General features: G+C 50.0%; 1 protein-coding gene across 15 annotated transcripts in view, besides 3 other annotated features; it reads right to left on the reverse strand.

Annotated features, from left to right (window-relative positions):
• The window catches only part of SLC22A23 (solute carrier family 22 member 23), a 188,078-nt gene that overhangs the window by 13,476 nt on the left and 153,195 nt on the right, over positions 1-21,407 (reverse strand). For 13 of the 15 annotated variants that reach the window (NR_168069.1, NR_104448.2, NM_015482.2 and 10 more), the window contains 5 exons: positions 15,643-15,770; positions 7,316-7,418; positions 4,411-4,643; positions 2,631-2,663; positions 1,404-1,527 (listed from right to left, as the gene is read on the reverse strand). Coding sequence is in view for 13 of the 15 variants with exons in the window: in NM_015482.2 (NP_056297.1) it covers positions 1,404-1,527; positions 2,631-2,663; positions 4,411-4,643; positions 7,316-7,418; positions 15,643-15,770 (621 nt within the window). In the remaining 2 variants the exon portion in view is untranslated. Of the gene's footprint in view, positions 1-344; positions 1,528-2,630; positions 2,664-4,410; positions 4,644-7,315; positions 7,419-15,642; positions 15,771-21,407 lie in introns of those variants that run through there. The other 2 variants (NM_001382317.1, NM_001382319.1) reach the window with 1 other exon arrangement.
• Positions 70-997: an enhancer, noted in NCBI's record as "H3K4me1 hESC enhancer chr6:3282752-3283679 (GRCh37/hg19 assembly coordinates)". NCBI's record gives its function as "activates a minimal SCP1, AML or CMV promoter by ChIP-STARR-seq in primed H9 embryonic stem cells {active_cell/tissue: H9 hESC(primed)}" and the evidence as "EXISTENCE:reporter gene assay evidence [ECO:0000049][PMID:30033119]".
• Positions 4,479-5,008: an enhancer, noted in NCBI's record as "H3K27ac-H3K4me1 hESC enhancer chr6:3287161-3287690 (GRCh37/hg19 assembly coordinates)". NCBI's record gives its function as "activates a minimal SCP1, AML or CMV promoter by ChIP-STARR-seq in primed H9 embryonic stem cells {active_cell/tissue: H9 hESC(primed)}" and the evidence as "EXISTENCE:reporter gene assay evidence [ECO:0000049][PMID:30033119]".
• Positions 14,257-14,757: an enhancer, noted in NCBI's record as "H3K4me1 hESC enhancer chr6:3296939-3297439 (GRCh37/hg19 assembly coordinates)". NCBI's record gives its function as "activates a minimal SCP1, AML or CMV promoter by ChIP-STARR-seq in primed H9 embryonic stem cells {active_cell/tissue: H9 hESC(primed)}" and the evidence as "EXISTENCE:reporter gene assay evidence [ECO:0000049][PMID:30033119]".

The following is a 21,407-nucleotide window of genomic DNA, read 5'->3' on the forward strand; positions in this document are numbered from 1 at the left end:
GTGTGGACGTGAAGATGCTGTTGTTAGCATGGCTACTGGAAATGTGGAAAGTAAGAAAGTCCACGGACCTGCCTACTTGCTCCCAAAGCCTTCCCCAGCTTAGCCTCCACATAGTCTGCCTTGGACTGGAATAGCCGCTACTGGATTTTCCCAAGGGTGTCATTATGCGGACACCTGGGTTTTGACTCACGGCTGAACTACTGCCATTACTCTCAAGTTCTGTTTTATGAAGGCACGTGCATGAGAAATGCTGATACTCCTTTAAGAAGTTCAGTGTGGTATAACTCAAGCTCCTCAGTAAGTCACAAACAGTGTAGGAAAATGACTGCAGCTGAGTGATGCCCTTTTAGTGGAGGCGTGCCTTTTTATTAACCTATAAGCATGGTGGCAACAGTAAATGGCGTGTAGCACCCATGAACCACGACCCAGGGGCAGAGACGGCACCAGGAAGGGGTCAGCCTCACTTTCCGAACTAAAGCAAAAGTGGCTGAGCACAGGTTAGTCACACCTTTTAGGGAGGTATGAAATGGCCGCAGACTCCACGAGGGCGGGACTGTGCTGCTGTGTTTTCTGGGCCTAGTGTCTGGCGCGCAGTGGGCTCTCCATCCATGTTTCTTACATGAGTCAGTAATCTCACTCGCTGTGCTCGCTTTGGATTCATGACATCAACTTCTCAGGTCAGTATGAAATAAGGCTCTTTTGGCCTGGCACGGTGGTTCACGCCTGTAATCCTAGCACTTTGGGAGGCCAAGGTGGGGGGATCACCTGAGGTCAGGAGTTCGAGACCAGCCTGGCCAACCAGGTGAAACCACGTCTCTACTAAAAATGTAAAAATTAGCCGGGCGTGGTGGCGCACACCTATAATCCCAGCTACTCTGGAGGCTGAGGCAGGAGAATCACCTGAACTTGGGAGGCAGAGGTTGCAGTGAGCCAAGATCATGCCATTGTACTCCAGGCTGGGCAATAAGAGTGAAACTCCATCTCGGGGAGGGCCGGGGGGTAGGCTCTTTCTACTTTGTGAAACATTTTGCACTAGCTGTGCCGTGAGGTCTCTTAGCAGAGTTGGCAGCACAGGTTCTGGTGGAAGTGCGGCATAAGTGATCCGCTGCACTCCCCCCCTTGCCAGACGCTCAGACACTGACATATTTCCTGGGCCCAGAGTAGCTCCCTGTTCCCCCTTCCTCCTGCTGCTGCCTGGACAGGACCCCAGGGCCAGGTTCTCACTGCCTCTTGGGCGCCTCGGGGTTGGGTCCAACAGCCACCTCAGCTATGAACCACGAAGCTGATGTGTCCAGAGCCAGAGACAGAGCTGACGCTGGTTAATCCCACACCAGCCTGGAGCCAGGGACTCGTCTTTGATTTCCGAGAAGCCGGCGTCCCCTGGGGTGTCTCCCATGACGCACCTTATCACCGTCGGGGTGATCTCCGCACAGAAGAACACGCTGAGGCTCCCCACCGCATGGGAGGCAAACATGCCCACGATGGAAAACGCGATGGAAAATTTGTCCTTGACGCTGTCACTCATCCCTGGGGGAAGGTCAGAAGAAGGTGGTGAGGGAAGAGAGGAAGCCAGGCCAGGGTGGGAGGGAGGCCTGGGGCTGCACAGCACAGCTCCTTCCCAGTGTCCAGCTTGCGGCATGGATGGGTATGCAATTCCCTCTGGGGACCAAGCAGCACCTCAAGGACTAGAAGCCCAGAGCCCCTGCAGTGGGTTTTGTGGGGCTTCTATGAGTCCCTGTGCGTCAAGCATGCTGAAGCTCATGGTGGCCTCTATTGGAATTCCTCAGCCGGGAGCCATGCCTGGTGGGAGGGCAGGCTGGCATGTCCCTGGTGCCACAGCGACATCCCTCTGCCCTGGCCTATGTTTGCTCCAGTCAGGTCTGATGTGCCCAACGTGTGGGACAGGGTAGCTGAGTCAGGGTTGATTTAAGGAAACAAAAACTCAAGCCACAGAATTTATGGGCCCAGAAGGCAAGTGTTCAACCCATCAAAGCCCTCGTAAATGGCACCGGAGACCGACCTCGCGCCAGGACAGGGTCTGGCACAGTGCACGGGCATGCTGTCAGGACCATACAGCTGGGGCTCAGCTCAGCTTCCCCAAGGCTGCATAGAGGGCAAGCACTCTCCAGGGACACGGGCGAGGGCTGGGGCAGGCCAGGCGGGTGCAGCAGCAGCTTCGAGGTGCAGGGCGGCACTGTGCTGTCCCCATGGGCTGCAGGGCAGCAAGCTTACATGAGTCAAAGGGGGACAGCGGCTTCCCCTGGCAGCACAGACAGCCGGGCCCCAGCACTCCCAGGCTTTCTCCCCCCACCCAGACAACTGTCCCTAAGACAAAGCATGTTGGCGCCGGGCCAGGGCCTGTGCTGAGCCTGGTGCCAGGGGAAGGGGCGGGGGCATGCGTGCCAAGCAGCACACAAACAGGGAAGCACCAGTCGCTCTTTCTAGAGGCAAGAGGGAGAATACAAATGTATCCGTATAGTGTCCAACCTACGGCCAACTTCAGCTGCAGTTCTTGGAGGGCAACGGGGAGAAAGAGAAAATGGAAACCACAGGTCCGTGAGTCTTCGAGAAAACACCCATTTAGATGTAATATGAGACGAGGAAGCACAGCCCACGCGCTTGGGACTCACCTGAGTCTGGGTGCTGGCTGTACTTTCCAATCACTGGACCCGCAGACATGATCGCACCCACACGGACAAGGGCCAAGCAAGCGAGAAGAGAGAAGAGAGCACATTAGGTGTGGAGTTAGCCTAGCGTGTTCCCATGCGACTTGGTTCAAGCAAACTCCCTTCCGTGTCTGGGATGGCGCTGGCCGCCGGGGCAGTGGAATTCATACTGCGCTAAACAAAGATCTTTTTGTTAGGAAGACAGGAGTGAGACCCTGCTGGCCTCAGAGCCTGAGGAGAAAATGGAACCTTCACAGTGAGACCCCAGCAGGTGCAAAGGGTGAGCTTCCTTGCATGTAAAGTCACCCACAGGTCACTGCCGCCTGCATTCAAGCTGCGTCAAGTGCTGTGGGGTGCCCCTGCCAGCCCCAGCTCTGCTCCTCACGGCTGCTTGGTGTTCGCCTGGGGCTCCTGTGCATTCCTGCTCAGGGCCAAAGGGGCACCACAACACCCGGGGGCTGAGGCACCCTGCCACTTCCGTCCCAACTGTGTGAGCAGGAGACTCCCTGGAAGGGCAGCTGGGGAACGGGGATGGAGGGAGACAGGCGCCACGTGTGCAATCCATTAGCTAAGCCTAACAGCAGTCTCCCAGCAAGGTATAGATTGCATAAGAACTGTCCAAGTTAGAAAGCTGCTCCTGAGTTTGAAGTGAGCCATCTCTAATCTAGGCTGCACGACAAGGCCGCTCTGATCTGGGTGCGGTGGACAGCCCTGGCGTCTAGTTCTGAGAGCCCGGGTTCATTTTCCTTGTAAAGGCAGGGGAGCTCTGTGGGGTCGATGTTCCCGCAGTGTCCTGAGCCTGTCCCAGGAGGACCGTGCCAGGGTGGGAGAAGAGGCTCATCGGTCCTGCCTGTTCACGTCGCGCCCTGGGCTGGCCACGGAGATGCTGTGGTGGTTTGTCCATACACGGGAATGGGTATTTGTTGGTGAGGAGCTATACAGAGCTTGCTGGAAGGGCCAGATGGACTCTCTAGCTTTGCCTTAGATTTTTTTTTTTTTTTTGAGATGGAGTCTTGCTCTGTCACCCAGGCTGGAGTGCAGTGCTGCGATCTCAGCTTACTGCAACCTCTGCCTCCCAAGTTCAAGTGATTCTTCTGCCTCAGCCTCCTGAGTAGCTGGGACTACAGGCGTGTACCACCAAGCCCAGCTAATTATTTTTTGTATATTTAGTAGAGATGGGGTTTCACTACATTGGTCAGGCTGGTTTGAACTCCTGACCTCATGATCCGACCGCCTCAGCCTCCCAAAGTGCTGGGATTACAGGCGTGAGCCACCGCACCCGGCCAGATTATTTTTAACCTTTACTGAGAAATTCTTTGGTCCAAAGAGAAGCTGATGAACTCGGGAACATCTGCTGAAAAGCAGGGCCCTAATGCAAGGGTGACAAAACAGATTTATTTCCCCCTTAATGTCACTCGAAAGAGACAATCCTTTGTTCTTCTTGGTCATGTGATGAATCACACAGAAGCAGTCTACCTATTAGCAAAGACTGGGCCACCAGGACTCGGAAGGAATCATGGTGCAGCCCGGGCCGGGGCAGGGGCAGGGGGAGGCGGGAAGGCCCAGTGCCCTCTAAGGCGGGCTCCACAGATGCTCTCAACTGAAGCTCTGTTCTCCCCAAAGCAGCTCCTTCCAGCAGTAGATTTTAGAGTGGCCAGCGGAGTCTTATGCAGCCCTTTCAAATGCCCTTGGGGATCTGCCAGCTTCCCTCCCTGCACCCAGCCCACCTCCCCGACCCACTCACGGTTGAGGAGGCCGAGCTGCAGGAGTGAGGCCAGGGCGGTGAGGATCATGAAGAGCAGCAGCCCTCCCCTGCGCCCGAGGAATCGGACCACCACGCACATGGCCAGGCAGGACACCAGCGCGATGCTGGCCGTGGTATAGTAGTCAGCATAGAAGTTCTCCAGGAGCGGCACCTTCACCTCGTGGCCCATCATGCTCCTGGCAAAGCAGTGGTGGATCCCGTACCCCGTCAGCCTGTGGAGACATACCGAGCGGCAGTGGGTGGGCTGCCCCCATGCCAGGGGCTGCGCTGCCTCCTGGGAGTTCGTGCTGTCAGGTGACCAGGAGATGAAGAAGCAACTCAATGTGTCATAGAAAAGCCCATCATGACCGAACCACGAGCAGATTACAGAGCCAATGCAAAAGAGGAGACGTGGGAGAAATATGGAATGCTTCTCCTGATGGAGGTCCAGGCTCATGCCCCACTACCATGGCTTTAATAGACAGGTGTGGGCACAAGAGCAGTGAGTCCTTTTGTTAAAACACACACTTTCATGGGAATCCTCCAAGACAAAGCGCTTTCCAGGTACTGACTCATTTAACCCAGGGCCGCAATCCAACAGCCACTGCACACCCACTTCACAGGGGCAGGGGGGCAGAGCAGCTCGCACGAGGCTCTCGGCGGGTAAGCGGCAACTCAGAGACGCAGCTTTTCTGGGCACTTAGGGTTCTGGAAGGGTGGAGATCTATCCATACCAGCCTCAACTCCACCCACACAGCCTGGAGGAGTCGGGCAGAAGCCAGGCCAATGGAAGACATATAGGGTCCACAGGAAACTGTTTTTTTTTTTGTTTTGTTTTGTTTTTGAGTAGAGCCGTGTTCTGCTACCCAAGCTGGAGTGCAGTGGCAAGATCTCAGCTCACTGCAACCTCCCCCTCCCTGGTTCAAGTGATTCTCCTGCTTCAGCCTCCCAAGTAGCTGGGATTACAGGCACCTGCCACCATGCCCAGCTAATTTTTGTATTTTTTGGTAGAGACAGGGTTTCACCATGTTGGACAGGCTGGCCTCGAACTCCTGATCTCAAGTGATCCGCCTGCCTTGGCTTCCCAAAGTGTTGGGATTACAGGTGTGAGCCACCGCACCCGGCCTCCGTTTTGATTCTTAATTTATCCCTGTTTCCCCTCCACTGCCCTGGGTCAAGCTTCTTTATTGCCCCACACGAGCGTATCAACCTGCTGGAAAAACGTGTCTGCCCTGAAAACAGGAACAAAGGCGTGGCTGCACCCTCCCACGGAGGCTGCTGATGGCCATCCATGGGGTGCCTCAGGGCTCTCAGGAACCTTTGGGGTGTACCTGTGATGCACCCGTGGTGCCTCGAGGGACCCTTCTTATGTCTGCTCTTGGCAACCATCCCAGAGCCAAAAACTGCCCCCTTCTCTCCCCAAACACCCTTTCGTGCTTCAGGGAAATCTACGTCCTTCTCATCTAACCTTGAGAATGCATCAAGGTCAACTGTAACAGACCCCGTCCCTGCCCCATAGGGGGAAGCCACCCCTTGCCAGGTGAATGCCTTTCCTCTTGGGAAATAGGCAGAGGCCCCAGCCCCCGCACAATGGCTTTATAATCCAGCAACTGATTTGGTTCAGTTAGCCTCCAGAGTTCCTCTTCTGGCCTGCTGAGATAGCAGGGCAATCTCCTACCTTCTTGCTCTGGTAGAAATGAAGTCTCCCCTGACCACAACAGGTCATCTGAAGATAACAGAGCCAGAGAGCTCGGTTCCCCGTCTCCACAAAACGAATCATTAAAATGGAAACTCACCATCTTATGTCAAATTTCATGTTTTTTTCCAACATAAAATGTAGAGAAGCCGTTCAACTCCTAACAGTGCCGCCAGCTCACCCAGCATCTACCTGAACCAGGCAGCAGCAGAGTGGCCAAGGCTGAGGCCCTGGGCTTGGCCTGATGTGGCCGTGGCCGGTCCCTGGCCTTGGTCTCTCTCCTGAGCTCAGGATGAGGCTCTACTGTTGTTTGGGCAGTAGAGCCTCTTGTACTCCTCACAAATCAATTTCAACCCAGAACCCCAATATGGAGAACTGATGAGCTGCTTTGACAGAAAAAGCCATGGGGGATGCTTGGCCCCTCGCCCTCACCCTGGGCCTGTCTTTACCTGGTGGCAGCTCGAGACCTTTCACAAATGAGTGCAACACCCCAGGTGACCTCTAACCCAAATGAGTCAAATCCCTTCCCTCCGCCACCTTGGTGACCTCTGACCCTGAACAAGGGACCACCTTGCACAGTCAGGGCCACTGAGCTCAAGACAGGAGTGACCTTCTAGGTACACACCAAGTCCAGGGACTGGGCTGCAAAGAACCTGCGTGAGTGATGCCCCCAGCCCCTGCAGGACCCAGCAGGCGGGGCGACCTGGGCCGGTGAGGGCCCTGGGAGGAGGTCTGCGCTCACTGGCCTGGCTCAGGCCCACCTGCCTCCACCCACGGCTGTCCTGGGGCCTTTGGCCAGGCTGGCTGCAGGTTCAGGAAGGGCGGGGCCGGCTACAGGCAGGGGCCAAGGCCTCATGGGTCTCAAATCCCCTGTCCTGAGACAGGGCCCAGAATTTCCAGCCTTGTGGCATCCCCCACTGTGCCCCTGAGGAGGTGCGTCCATGTGCATCTTGGTTTCCTGGACCTCATGGGCACGTGGTGGGGAGGCCCTGCTCACAGGATTTACACGCCTGGGCTGGGGGGCACCGGCTGCTTGAGGCTTCCGGGAGCGGGGGAGGTCAATATCTTCTAGCCCGTGTCACTCTTCACACACACACCCTTAGGATTCCAAGTTCAGCGGGGTGGGGAGCAGGGCCCTGGGCTTCACCACTCCCCACCTTCTTCCCTGGCCCCCTCCCACCCAGCTGGCACTTGTCCTCTGTGACTCACGAGTTCACACACAGGACCACAATGTTCTTCCACAGGTTCCGTGTCCCCACCACCTTCACGATGCAGACCTTCTTGGGCCTCCGGGAAAGCTCTTTCTCCAGCTCTGCAAAGAAACAGACCCTGTGAGCCCTGGGCAGGCCGCCCACAGAGGACAGGACAGCAGCTGCAGTCACAGCCCTGGTTCCCCAGTTCGGGTACCACAGAAGGGAGAGAGAAGCTTTTTTTTTTTTTTTTTTTTTGCCAGTGGATAGGGTCTAGGTTTCCAGGATAGAAAGGCACTCATAAGACCCCAGCTTTGCAGTTCAGGTTTCGCTCGGGTGCCTGAGAGGGCACCAAGGTGCACCGTCAGCAGAAGTTTCCATCACAAACCCTTGTTTTGGAACCAGTCAGAGTGCACACAAACGGTCTCGACTCAGTTCACTTTTGTCTGAGTACAGAGCTCAGCGATGATATTCTAGGTTACTGAGGCACTCATTAGGCCCTGGGCAAATCTAAACATGCAGTTCTTTTCCGTACACTCTACATCTGCCTGTGTCACCCCCGGCTCGGAGACTGGGAAGGCCACATGCAGATATGCTTCTTAGCCTTGTGGGGTGGAACTATGGCTGTAGCTACTTCTGCTGAAACTGCCCTTAGGACATCATATGCATCTTTGAAAGCCAAATACATAAGTGAACACATCTGCGTGTATGTGTATACACCATACATGCACACATTCATACGCATGCATATACGTGTGCATGTTTTAGTTAACAGAAGTCCTTGGGGGCTGGACAATATTTTGGCTCCAAGGGATGTGAGCAACTATAAAGTCATGAGACTGAGTTTCTTGTGCGGCTCCAGCGGCTCTGAAAGCCCCTCTGAAGGGAGTCCACCAGCGCACAGTGTTACATTCACCAGGCCAAGGGGTCTGCAGAGGTGCTGGTGTTGATCTGGCAATTTACAGGGAAGATTCAGAATGGTGGGGGTGCTGGCCTCCAGGAGCTGTCTGCTTGCACGTCTGGGAGCAGGAATGCCACCTCAGCCTTCTGTTGCCTCTCTGCCTTCCTAGCCTGGCATGTCTTCATGGAGTAATCCCCTACTGGGGAGCTAAAAAAGAAAAGGGAGACTTCCCGAAGCGGAGGGGAACCAGGACTCTTCAAGACTGTCAAGGTCACCAGAAACAAGAAAGACTGAGCAGCTGTCAGACCAGGAGACTAGGGAGAGGGGAGGACAAGACGCAGTCCTGGGCGGCATCCCGGGTGGGAGGAGTCGTCATGGAAAGCACGATGATGGGAGGCACCAAATAAAGGCTGGGGTTTGGTGAATGGTAGTGTTCCAATGTCACTCTTTTAGTTTCGACAACAGTACCACGACAGTATCAGACATTCGCAATCTGGGAAGTCGAGTACTGGGAGGTCTGTCGTTGCCTCTAGAGGGATCCTTCTGCTCCCTCGGGGGCTGTGTCTCCAGGACCCTGGCCCTGTGCTTCCGAGGGCCACTCTGAACCCTGGATGGCTCAAGTTCAACCCTCCTCTTCCACCTCCTTCCTGCCATCCAGCGGTAGGAGGGTCACAAAGCTCTTTCATTATAGTTTGAAGAAAAAATGTGTTGCTAAACCGTAGGGATTTGAATAAAGCAATGATGTTTTTATTCAAACATTGTTTTTGAACTGAGTGTCACCAGCCAGGGCACAGAAGGGAGAAGGAGAAACCTTTCACTTGTCTGAGGGAGCTCATGTCTACTGAGTTTCCAGAACTTTCTCCCTTGCCATACTTGGGTGCAAAGATTGAGGTCTGTGTGTAAGCCCACAGGGCCGGCGTTTCAGCTGCTGGTCCACGGACCCTCTCAGCTCCCAAGGTCCATTATTTTTCCTCAGCAAAAATGGGCTACTTTGACTACAGGCACAGTTTCTCCATGGTTAAAATAACTAATTTTATAAAGAGCTTGAAAATATCATGGTTAACAGAAAACCTTGGATCCAATGATCTGAATATCTTTGCTATTATAGAACTCATCAGAAACCAACTGTAATAGCTACGTTTTCTCACCATGGAAGACTTCCGAGAAGAAAATTTCAATGTCCATTAGCAAGTCCATATAAGTTTAAAGTTTTAAAAAGTATATACCCCAAACTGAACTCCTGATATGTTATTGTTTACTAAGTATGATGTTAAAGAAGCAATAACAACTGCATTATGACCTGAGCTTTTTAAATAAAATTAAACCTAGAACCCAGTCTAAAAAATTGACTGTAGTCTGCAGAGGTAACTGAATTCTTCTAAGTGGAATTAGATTAACCTTTCCAGGGCTATTGATATGTTTTCAGGAAGCACATGAAGCGCTTCCTCCCATGTCTGGCAGAGTCACTGTCCAATGACTTTGTGCTTATCTTACTACCAGTTACTCACATCACCAGCCTGTCAACAACAGCATGAAGCTTCCGCAGCATTATATCTGTTCTTCTGGGCCTCAAATCCTCGAGTGCTTCTGGAGGCCGTGCCGAGTTCTCCCATCCGGCCCTCAAGGCAGCGCTCTATGTTATAGGACACTTCAGATGGTTCTAACACCCTCAATGGTAGCTGAATCCAAGAGGCCTTTTTGTCTGTCCAGGTATCAGATGGACATCTAGAGACTTCTCTAAACTCCTCACACATGGAAATGAATGGGCAACAGGGAGCCCGGCCAGGTTGTGGGACACTGGCATCTAGGATTTGCTGCTGCGAGCACCCAGCTCCCATGCTCTCCTCGAGACAGAGGAGGAGGAGGACACATCAGCCTGCTTGACTTAGAGCCATCAGAAAATTTTCCAACCAAAACCCACGTCGAGCCGACTGAATTTTGATGAGCCAGGTATGTCCAAGGCCATCCTGCAGCCCCTGTGCCTCCACATTTTCACGGATCCCCGTGTGGTCGGGGCTGAGGTCTGGGTGCTGTGAGGGGCCCGATGAGCCTGGGCAGGAACCCAGCTTCTGCACTTCCGGCAAAGCTACGCTCTCCTTGGAAAAGCTACGCTGTCCTTGCTCTGAGCCCAGCTGCTCGTCTGTGAAGTAGGATGAAGCGCTGCCTTGAGGGCCGGATGGGAGAACTCGGCGCGGCCTCTGGGAGCACTCGGGGAGCACGTGTCTTCCCGCCCCGTGCTCAGTGAGCCCAACATCTCCCAGCTTCTCTTCACCAACAGAGGGAGGGAAAGGAGGCCCTGATGACCCTGCTGACCCGCTGGGAGGAGGGCACGGCCTCTCCACATTTGGCCATCTGGTGTGAGAGGTAAACCAGGCCTCCGAGGACAGCAGAGGACGCAGTGGCCACTCGCCCAAGACCAGGCTCAGGAGGAGCAGGGAAAACACACGCAGAGGAGAATTGGAATTGGCTTGCGTGGGGGTATGAGATAAACCGGCTTTGTTGTCATCCTAGTGGACGATGCTAGTGCGTTAGGGGTGAAATTGGAAAAACATCAGTTATAGAGACGGAAAGCAAGAAAAGAAAAAGGAGGAGGACAAGGAGCAGGAGGAGGAGAAAGAGAATGAAAGGGAAGAAGGGATGCTGCCATCTCTGCCACATGAGTCATTAAAAAAGCACACCAAACGCTCCAAGGAGGCAGCCCTGAGCCCCACACCCGTGTTGGGAAGTAGAAAAAGCACCTGCTGCCTCTTCCCCACAGCCCCTCACCCCTCCGGGACGGATTTAGAATGGGGCCACTCGGCCACTCGAATAAATGTGCTTGAAAGCAAGTGGAAGATAAGCGTCCACAGGAGTCTTATCACGAAGTCACCTCAGACAGCACAATCTTCAATGTCTAGCCAAGCTTTCAACAACTGACCGGGCACTGCCGACCTCTGTCATCTCTGTCCTCGTCTGCCCAGACACAGGCTCCACCTAACCTGAGCCCTCTGAGTGAGCCGTGGCGGTCGCCTGTGGAGTGAGGGCCCTGTGCAGCCTGCCTGGGGTCATACCTTGCTTTCATCACTTACAGGTGGTGTGACTTGGGCAAGGTACCTAGCGTGGAACGTGGAGGTGGCCTGACATATCCACCCTCTCGTCATCTTAGGATCTGAACAGATTGTTAAGGCAGAGTGAGGCAGGCCAGGACAAAACCCAAGCTCTGTCATTGCTAGGGGTAGTAGGGAGCCCCACATGGGGCTAAGATGGGGGCGCTCGGATCACACAGACTCAGCCGTGCATCCTGGCAATGCTGGGCAGGTTGGCTTCTCCGGGGTGAGGTGTGGGGCTGCCCGGAGAGGACTGATGCTGAGGACGGAGGATGCCTGCACCCTGCACGTGGCTCCCCACAAGGAAGAAGACAGGAGTGCATTTGCCGTCCTTCCCCTGGGGCTAGCCTGACACTGAGAGGTATCATGGAGTTACTGCTCCCCACTGCTCAGCCTCTTTGGGCCCGTTCTGTTCCTGTAAAGTAGGGAGAATGGCTCCTCTCCCTCATGAAGCTCAGATGCAGATGAGATACATATGAAGCGCTTCCTCCGATGCCTGGCAGTCACTGTCCAGTGACTTTTTGCTTATCTTACTACCATTTGAGCATTCGACATTCTACATTGAGTTACATTACTACCATTTGAGATTCTACAAAATCTGAAGCCTGAAATGCTCTAAAATTGAGAATCTTTTGAGCACCCACATGATTCTCAAAGGAAATGCTCACTGGAGCATTCAGATTTGGGATTTTTGGATTTGGAAAGCTCAACCAGTAAGTATCATACAAATATCCCCAAATCCCAAAACATCCAATCCCCAAAACACTTCTGGTCCCGAGCATTCTGGATAAGGGATGCTCAGCCTGTGAAACTGAAGGCACAGTGCCGTGTGTGGCACTCATCCCGGGTCTCGTTTTTGCATTAGGCTGCTGGCCACACGGCCACATTGGGAACCAGCGGGCCTTCTACTCCTGCTTTAAACGCTCAAAACCTCAGGAACTAATGACACAGGAGTGCTCTCAGCAGTTGGGCACGTTATGTGATATGAAGGTTGCAGGACTGACATTGAGAGAATGATGCTCAGGAACACACCCACATATCTAAACTCAGCTGCACAGGCCAGTAAGAACTTCACACTTGCTAGGAGATAAACCAAGGACAGCTTTAAAAGAGAAAAGGAAATAAGAAATTTGAGAACATCAGGTTTTCCCCCGGCATAAGTCCAAGGTTAGGATGTACTGATGGGGCAGTGAGCAGCCCCACTGGACCCCTACACGTACCTCCAGCCAGGCCCGAGACGCTTACTTACCCAGTGGCAATGCAACCGCAATCCTAACCCTTCCTTCCTATAGGAGTCCTGGGTTCGTTTAGCCCATAAATATTCATGGCACACCTGCTACGCGTCGCGTCAGGCCTTCGGCTGGGCTGCTGCTGGGGGCACAGAAGTGTCTGGCTCTACAGACGGGCCCTGCCTTGCCTGGCCTTGCCGCTCTGCAGGGGTGACAGGCAGTAATAAGGAACCCTGCAATTACTCGTCGTAGCTGGGATGAGGGGAAGCGGGGAGAAGTGCTGAAGTTGTAACAGTGAATAACTGGGGGCTGACTTGGTCTCTGAGGAGCTGGGCAAGGCAAGAGTGGGGAGCTGAGAGGACAGGGAGTGTGCACCGGGAGGGACCTGTGGAGAGGGAGACGGTGGTGTGTCCTGGGAGCCAAACGAAGGCCAGGGTGTGAGGTGGTGGGAGGCAGAGATCAGAGCCTCTGCAGTGGCCTGGAGGACCTGGGGTCTACCCGAAAGGCACTGGGAGGCACTGGAGAGGCTTGAAGCCGGTGGTGATGTGATCAGATCATGTGTGACCTGGTGGCAGGGAGGATGGAACAAAGCTGGGAGCCCAGCCAGCCGGCCAGGGCGCGAGAGGGTGACAGACACGAGGCTCGGAGCAGGTGTTGGCTGTGGGATTAGATGGGGTGATGGGAGGAAGATTCCATGCAGAAAACTGAGCCTGGGCAGAGGAAGCTGGAAGTGGGAGATGTAGCAACTGAAAGACACGCTGCCTTCCCCCACACTCAGCAGCCCTGCCAATCGTGCTGCCATCAACACATCTGACAGCTGGGGGTGGAAGAGAGCAGAGTCCACTGTGAAGGGCTGCGGGGCAGAGCCACCACCTGAGGACCGCTCCCCAAGGAGGTGAAGCCTCTATCCTCTTTGTTAAGTCACATGTCACCAACTGCCTCTCACCCAGCCTCCTGCCTGGGACTCTGGAAAGGAAATAAGCACCAGCAAAACTCATAAGCAAAGAAATAAATTTTTAAAAAGGATCTAATACCACTTTCCAAATATAGGAGGGAAATGAATCAGTGTAATTAGGATTTGAGAAAACAAGCTATTCCCAGACAATATTTTAACGTGAAAGAAGCAGAGTGTGATGACTTAATTAGGGAAATGCCACAAACAAATTGTACTGTAAGCCTAAGAGCATTAACCTGCTAACGAGTGAGGTCTGGGGAAATCTGGGAAAGCCATCTGGACCGTCCAAAACGAGCAAGCATGGCCCCGCTGGAGAAACCTGGATTGAGTACTCACTACTCAGCGCAGGGAAGTTTGTATCTATCCAGAGCTCTCCCTCATGTTAGAGCAGCGTGGCAAAGCCACCCCTGCTGGACTTTGCACCCCTGCTGGACAAGTCCTCGCTCAACTTCTTAGCAGCTGTGTGACCTCTGGAAGCTGCTTAGCCTCTCTGTGCTCCCGTTTCCTCATCGGCAAACGGGGCTAATTATAGTGCCTCTCTCATAGGCTGTCATGGAGAAATAATACACGTGAAGCACTTGGGGGCTAAATATTAAATATGAATTAATATTTGCAAATCACTTAGAAAAGGAGCTGAAATGTGAGTGCCATGTGAGTGTCATCGTGTTTCTCGTCACTGTCCCTGGATAAAAAGGGACCACAGATGCACCAGCACTCAGCACCCTTCATGTCAACCAGACCTGGCTCATGTCCTTCTTCTGTCCAGCGAAGCAAAAGCTTCAGGCGTCCCTGGGTAGGCCCCACCCCACCCAGCACGTGGTCCAGCCTGGGTGACCTGACTCTCACGGCCCTGCACAAGTTGAGGCAGAGGGTGACATCCTGGCTGAGCTACGGCAGCACCAAGGAGCTTCTAGTGACCTAGTGTCCCCGATCTTCTGAACTGGGAGTCTAACGAGAGGCCTGTCCAGGTACCAAGGGCTTCTCTGATTTGGGGTTCCCGTGCATCCCTTCCCATCGTAAATGGATACCTGCAGGGCACATTCTCCCACCTCACTCAGGCCCCTGCACCTGTGCCCCTGGAGCAAAGCTTCCGCAGCCACTCTGACTGTAGTCCCTCCCTGCCACCCTCTATCCCACAGCCCTGCTGTTTCATCCCTCCTGACGTATGCACGTGTAACTTCCCTGTCTGTGTGCCCCACCTGCCTGCAAGTTACGTGAGAGCAAGGCTTTGCCTGTGTCTTCTCTGCTCTAGAATAGCGCCTGAAACACAGCAGGCATCTAGTAAACACGTGTTGGTTTACTGAATGAATCATGATCACAAGCATTTCTGGTCAGGGGGGAAAATGAGCATATTCTCTCTTGGACGATGGCCTGGAGGTTATTTTCCCAGGGAATTTTATAGCAACAATTTATCCCAGGTCTTCAGTGAGGGCAGTGAGTCAGAGCTTGGGCCGAGACCACCAGTGATCTTCAAACGGAAATCTGTATACCACTTGCATCAGAATCTCTTCTAGTGCTTATTAGAAATGCAAGTTCTCAGGGCTTATCCCAAATCTAACAGGTCAGGATCTCCAGGTGCCAGGGAGAGGCCCAGGAATCTGGATTTTAACAACCTCCTGGTGATACGTGGATCCCCAGGTTGAGAACCCCCACCTAGCTGTGGTAACGCTCCTGACACGCAGGAATTCTATGGATCTGAACGACTATCCAAAAACACTTCACCTTTCCTGTCTTCAGCTGCCCAACAAATAGGTCATGGCCAGGTAAAGACAATGGTGGCTCTCTGAAGGTCATGCTCAGGAAAGCTGAGGTCACAGGGGCCATCTACACCCTGAGCCAGCGCTCTGGCAGTGTTTAGACCTGGCAGGCAGGTAGGCTATGGGCCAGACAGCCAGATATTCCCTTGAGCAGTGTATATTGGGCTCATGGCTCGCTTCTGCATTTAGACAGGAGATGAGCAGATCCAGAGTGTGCTGGACTTGATCATGAAAGAAACCAACACCTAGAAAATGGAGAGAATGTCAAGGTTGCCACATTGCCCTTGTGCAGGCCAAAAGGTCACAGGAGAATTGCACAGCTGGTTAAAACAGCTGTTTGTGCAACAAAACCAGCCCAGGTGTCAGGGACCTGCCCCGTGGAGCCTCTCTGAGCCCTGCCAGCCCGCGGTGTGCTCACCTGGTATCACACCCTTGATGTCGCCCTCAGGGTTCATGCGATTCTTCTGTGTGAAGTGGAGGATCAGCCTCTTTGCAGACTCAAACTGCTGGGTGGCCATTAGCCACCGGAGGGACTCGGGGAATATCCTTTAAAGACACAAAGGGGATCAGTGAATGTCTTCCGATTCTGCACGGCACCGGGAAGTGTGGCTTAGGTGTGGCCCGGGAGCTTCCCAGGCAGGTGGCGGTCAGTCTCCAGACACGCATCAGCCCAATCAGGGGAGATAAAACTGTGGGCACTGAAACGTTCCCAGTTTTCTTTTCCAAAGAGTAAAAATCAAGACCTTAAAAATGCTTAACAAAAGTTAACCACATGTTCTCACCCACGTATGGAAGCTTAAAAAAAAAGTGATCTCATAGAAGTAAAAAGAAGAACAGAGGATACTAGAGGCTGGGAAGGGTGGGGGGAAACTGGGGATAGGGAGAGGTTGGTTGAAGGATACAAAATTATAGCTAGGTAGGAGGAACAAGTTCTAATGTTCTACGCCACTGTAGGATGACCATAGCTACTAATAATATACAGTTTCACATAGCTAGGAGGAGGATGTTAAATGTTCCCGGCCGGGCGCGGTGGCTCACGCCTGTAATCCCAGCACTTTGGGAGGCCGAGGCGGGTGGATCATGAGGTCAGGAGATCGAGACCATCCTGGCTAACAAGGTGAAACCCCGTCTCTACTAAAAATACAAAAAATTAGCCGGGCGCAGTGGCGGGCGCCTGTAGTCCCAGCTACTCGGGAGGCTGAGGCAGGAGAATGGTGTGAACCCGGGAAGCGGAGCTTGCAGTGAGCCGAGATTGCGCCACTGCAGTCCGCAGTCCGGCCTGGGCGACAGAGCGAGACTCCGTCTCAAAAAAAAAAAAAAAAAATGTTCCCAACACACAAAAAAGTGATATTTGCGATGATGGGCATGCTAATTACCCTGATCTGATCATTTTACATTCTATGTACTGCACCATCACTGTGTACCCCATAAATATGTACGATTACTATGTGTCAATTACAAAAATAAAAAAATAATTTAACAAATGTAACAGAGTAGCGGATATGAACAACATTCTACCAGCTGTGTCAAGAAATCAGTGTATACCTTTCAAAGTAACCATAGATTTCTAAAGCATGGAGAAACAATTCACGGAAGCCTGCTGATTTTGTTGTATTTTGTCACAATAAATAGTAATAGAATGATTTTACGTTTAAAAAATTACTTCCAAATATGACCAACCTGCAGTTATTTTCAGTTTCGGAACCTGAAGGCTCACTGTCCCGGGGTTTCCTTCAGAGCTATTTCCACGTTACTGCTAACCGCCTGTCACTGTCCCTCAGACGATGCCACAACGCAGTGGTTTTCGAGTTTTACCAAAGCGACAGAATCTTTTTCTTTTTTTAAAAGATGGAATCTTGTGAGGAGCCCCAATACAAAAAAACTAGTGTTTTATTATCAATTAATTTTATAAATTTACATTTATGACAATATTTACAAGCTGCTCAAAGAGAACACCGTGACTGCGCAGAGCAGGAGTTGGCACGCTATCTCTGCAAAAGTCCAAGTCATCAATATTTTAGACTTTGAGGGTGAAATGGTCTCTCCTCATCTTGGCCTTGTGGCCTGAGTGTGGATGTATGGGAGTGGGTGTGGCTATGGGCTAATAATACTTTATTGCAAAACAGGCAGCTGACCCTTGACTGTTTGGGAGAGACAAAAAGTAGAAATCAAAGCTCAAGATGACAGTCCTAGCTTCTTGTAGCCCTCAGTGTTCTAGTTATCACTCCACTTTATTTTAGTTAAATTGTATCAGGAAAGTCACGACTGATGCTGGTAAGAAGTTATTGTAAGTACCGAACACCTGCTTTGCAAGCTCAGGATAGACTTTTTTTTTTTTTTTTTTTTTTTTTTTTTTGAGATGGAGTCTTGCTCTGTCACCCAGGCTGGAGTGCAGTGGTGTGATCTCAGCTCACTGCAACCTCCACCTGCTGGGTTCAAGCGATTCTCCTGCCTCAGCCTCCCTAGTAGCTGGGATTACAGGAATGTACCACCATGCTTGGCTAATTTTTGTATTTTTAGTACAGATGGGGTTTCACCATGTTGGTCAGGCTGGTCTCGAACGCCTGACCTCGTGATCCGCCTGCCTCGGCCTCCCAAAATGCTGGGATTACAGGCATGAGCCACCGTGCCCGGACTCAGGAGAGTTTTAAAATGAATCTAGCAGCTAGAAAAAGTATTAATGGTGTTTCCCTCACCCTGGCCCAAATTCATATGTTGGAAACTAAACCCCAATGTGATAGTATTAAGAGATAGGGCCTTTAGGGGTGATTAAGTCATGAGAACGGGAGGCTGAAGAGAGGTGCCTTGCCCCTTCCCTCATGTGAGGACACAGAAGGCTCCATCTATGAGCAACACACGCTTGCCAGACACAGAATCTGCTGGTGCCTTAATCCTGGACCTCTCAGCCTCCAGAACTGTGAGCAATAAATTTCTGTTGTTTATAAATCATCCAGGGTAAGGTATTTTGTTGTAGCAGCAGGAACAGACTGTGAGAAGCAGAAAATTTTTATTTCAAAGTCACATCACTATCGATATCTAATAATTACTGCCTCCTTCATACCTATTTGAAAAAAGTCCAAATTTCTATTTGCTTGTGACTGTGTTTTACATGATGAAGTTGTTCCCACTGAATTCGGTGGTACCTTTGGGATGGTCTGATCTGAATGATAACTCACTCTGGAAGACTTGGGAGCTTCTTGAAGAGCTAAAAGCTGTCCTGCTGAGCAGGTGTGTGGAATGCAGGAGGGCCGTGTGGAATGGACAGAAGGTCTCTGGTCATCTCACATGGAAGTCCCAAATACATTTGCAGGCACTGATTTTTTTTAAATACTCAAAGTTAATGTTTGTTTTCCTGGCCTCTAGCTATACAAAATTAATTTTGAATAACATAATCCAAGGAAATAGAAACAGATACATGACATTAATATTATATATATTCACATTTTGCTGTATTTTAAAAATCAGATCTTTTCTTTATAATAAAACAACCTAACACAAATGCCACCCCCCATAGTTTAAGTTCTGATCTATAGTATTTCCATCTTTCTGATGCGTTTGGGTTTAGTATCTTTTTCTAATTTCTCAGGATAGACATAGAGGTCATTATTATTAATTTTCTCATAAGTGTACTTAAGACTTCAAAATTCATCTAGATATTATCATTTGAGATACATTTGTGATTTGATTCTAAATATTTTGTGATTTCTATGAGAATTTTTGCTTATCTAAGAAACAATATATGAATATATATAAATACGGTAATATGACAGCGCAAGCGATTTCGCAGGTAGTCTCTACAGTTTTGAAATACGGCATACAACGTGGAAATTTGTGTCCTTTCAAAATAATTAAAATTTATTTATATCAAACGCTTACGGAACTCCATGGCAGGAAATGGATTTTGAAAATCAAGACCATAAATGAAGAACAAGGCCCAGATGACCCAGCAGAGGAGGAGCTGCAGCCCCACCTTCCAACCCCTAGGGCCACGTACCCCAAGGGCCACTGCCCAGGGCTGAGGGCGCAGGTGGTGTGAACGAGCAGGGCAGAGCTTCCACAAGAGGACATAACTTTTTCATTGCCCCAGCAATCTCAAGTCCTGTTCCTTGATTTATCCTCAAGTGTTACCCACAGGGTGGGGAGAACCGCGGAGATGTGCTCACTATACACAGTTTTGAAGCCAGGATAGGAGGTGACAGCCCAGGGAAAATCCAAAATGCGGCATATTTGAGTATGGACATTTGAGTGGTGCCATTTTGCCTTCAAGATAAAGCCCTTGTAAAACGAGTTGGAAGAATTCCTTCTGTTTCGTTTTTTTGGGGAATAGTTTGAAAAAAGTTGGTATTACATTTTTAAAGTTTCAGTAGAATTCAGCAGTGAAGCCCTCTGGTCCTGGACTTTTCTTTTTTGGAAGACTTTTTATGACTGATTCAATCTCATTACTTGTTATTGGTCTGTTCAGCCTTTCTATTTCCTCTTGGCTCAATCATGGTAGGTTGTATGTGTCAGGAATTTATCCATTTCCTTTAGGTTTTTGAATTTATTGGCATATAGGTATTCATAGTAGTCTCTGATGATTCTTTGTATTTCTGTGGCATCTGTTGTGATGTCTTTTTTTGTTTCTGATTTTATTTATTTGGGTCTTCTCTGTCTTTTTCTTAGTCTACCTAATGGTTTATGAATTTTTAAAATCTTTTCAAAAAACCAACTTTTTGTTTCATTGATCTTCTCTATGGTTTTGTTAGTCTCAATTTCATGTATGATTGCTTTGATCTTTATTATTTCTTTCCTTCTACTACTTTTAAGTTTGGCTTGTTCTTGCTTTTCTAGTATCTTGAAATACATCATTGGGTTGTTTATATGAAATCGCTCTAGTTTTTTGATGTAGGCATTTGTTGCTATAAACTTGCCTGTTAATACTGCTTTTGCTGTGTCCCATAGGTTTTAATATATTGTGTTTCTATTTTCATTTGTATGAAGAAATTTTTTAGTTTCCTTCTTAATTTCTTCCTTCACCCATTGGTTGTTCATGAGTATGTTGTTCAATTTCCATGTATTTGTACGTTTTGAATGTTCCTCTTGTTATCTGATTTCTAGTTTTAGTCCATTATGGTCAGATAGGATACTTGGTATGATTTTGATTTTTAAAAATTTTTTGAGACTTGTTTTGTGTTCTACCATACAGCTGATCCTGGAGAAACTAAAACCTTCTGCACAGCAAAGGAAACAATCAACAGACTGAAAAGACAACCTACAGAATGAGAGAAAGTCTTTGCAAACTATTCATCTGACAGGGGATTAACATCTAGAATATATGAGGAACTCAAACACCTCAACAGCAAAAAAAGAAACAACCTGATTTTTAAAATGGACAATAATCTGAATAGACATTTCTTAAAAGACACAAATGGCCAACAAACATATATTAAAAAAAGCTCAACATCACTAATCATCAGAAAACACAAATCAAAACCACAATGAGGTATCAACTCACCTCAGTTAGGATGGCTATTATCAAAAAGACACACACACAAAAATGCTGGCAAGGATGTGGAGAAAGGGAACTCTTATATGATGTTGGTGGGAATGTAAACTAGTACATCAACTATGGAGAACAGTACAGAGGTTCCTCAAAAAACTACAAACAGAATTACCTCATGACCCAGCAATCCCACTACTGGTGTTTATCCAAAGGAAAGGAAAACAGTCAAAGAGACATCTGCATCCTGAGTTTATTGCAGCATTATTTGCAAAAGCTAAGATATGGGATCAACCTAGGTGTCTAACACAGATGACTGGAAAAAGAAAATGTGGTATATATACACAATGGAATACTATTCAGCTGTAAAAAAGAATGAAATCCTGTCATTTGTGGCATCATGGATGGAACTGAAAGACATTATGTTACGAGAAATAAGCCAGGTACAGAAAATTAAGCACTGCATGTTCTCACTCATGTGGAAGCTCAAAAAAAGATGATCTCATAGAAGTGAAAAGTAGAACAGAGGATATTAGAGGCTAGGAAGGGTAGGGGGAAGGGAGAAATAGGGAGAGATTGATTAAAGGATACAAAATTACAAGAGATAGGAGGAATATGTTCTAGTGTTCTGGAGCACTGTAGGATGACTCTAGTTAATAATATATCATATAGTTTCAAATATCGAATGTTCCCAACACAAAGAA

The sequence above is a fragment of the Homo sapiens genome, chromosome 6 (genome assembly GCF_000001405.40).
Source record: "Homo sapiens chromosome 6, GRCh38.p14 Primary Assembly".
In the NCBI taxonomy this organism is placed as follows: domain Eukaryota; kingdom Metazoa; phylum Chordata; class Mammalia; order Primates; family Hominidae; genus Homo; species Homo sapiens.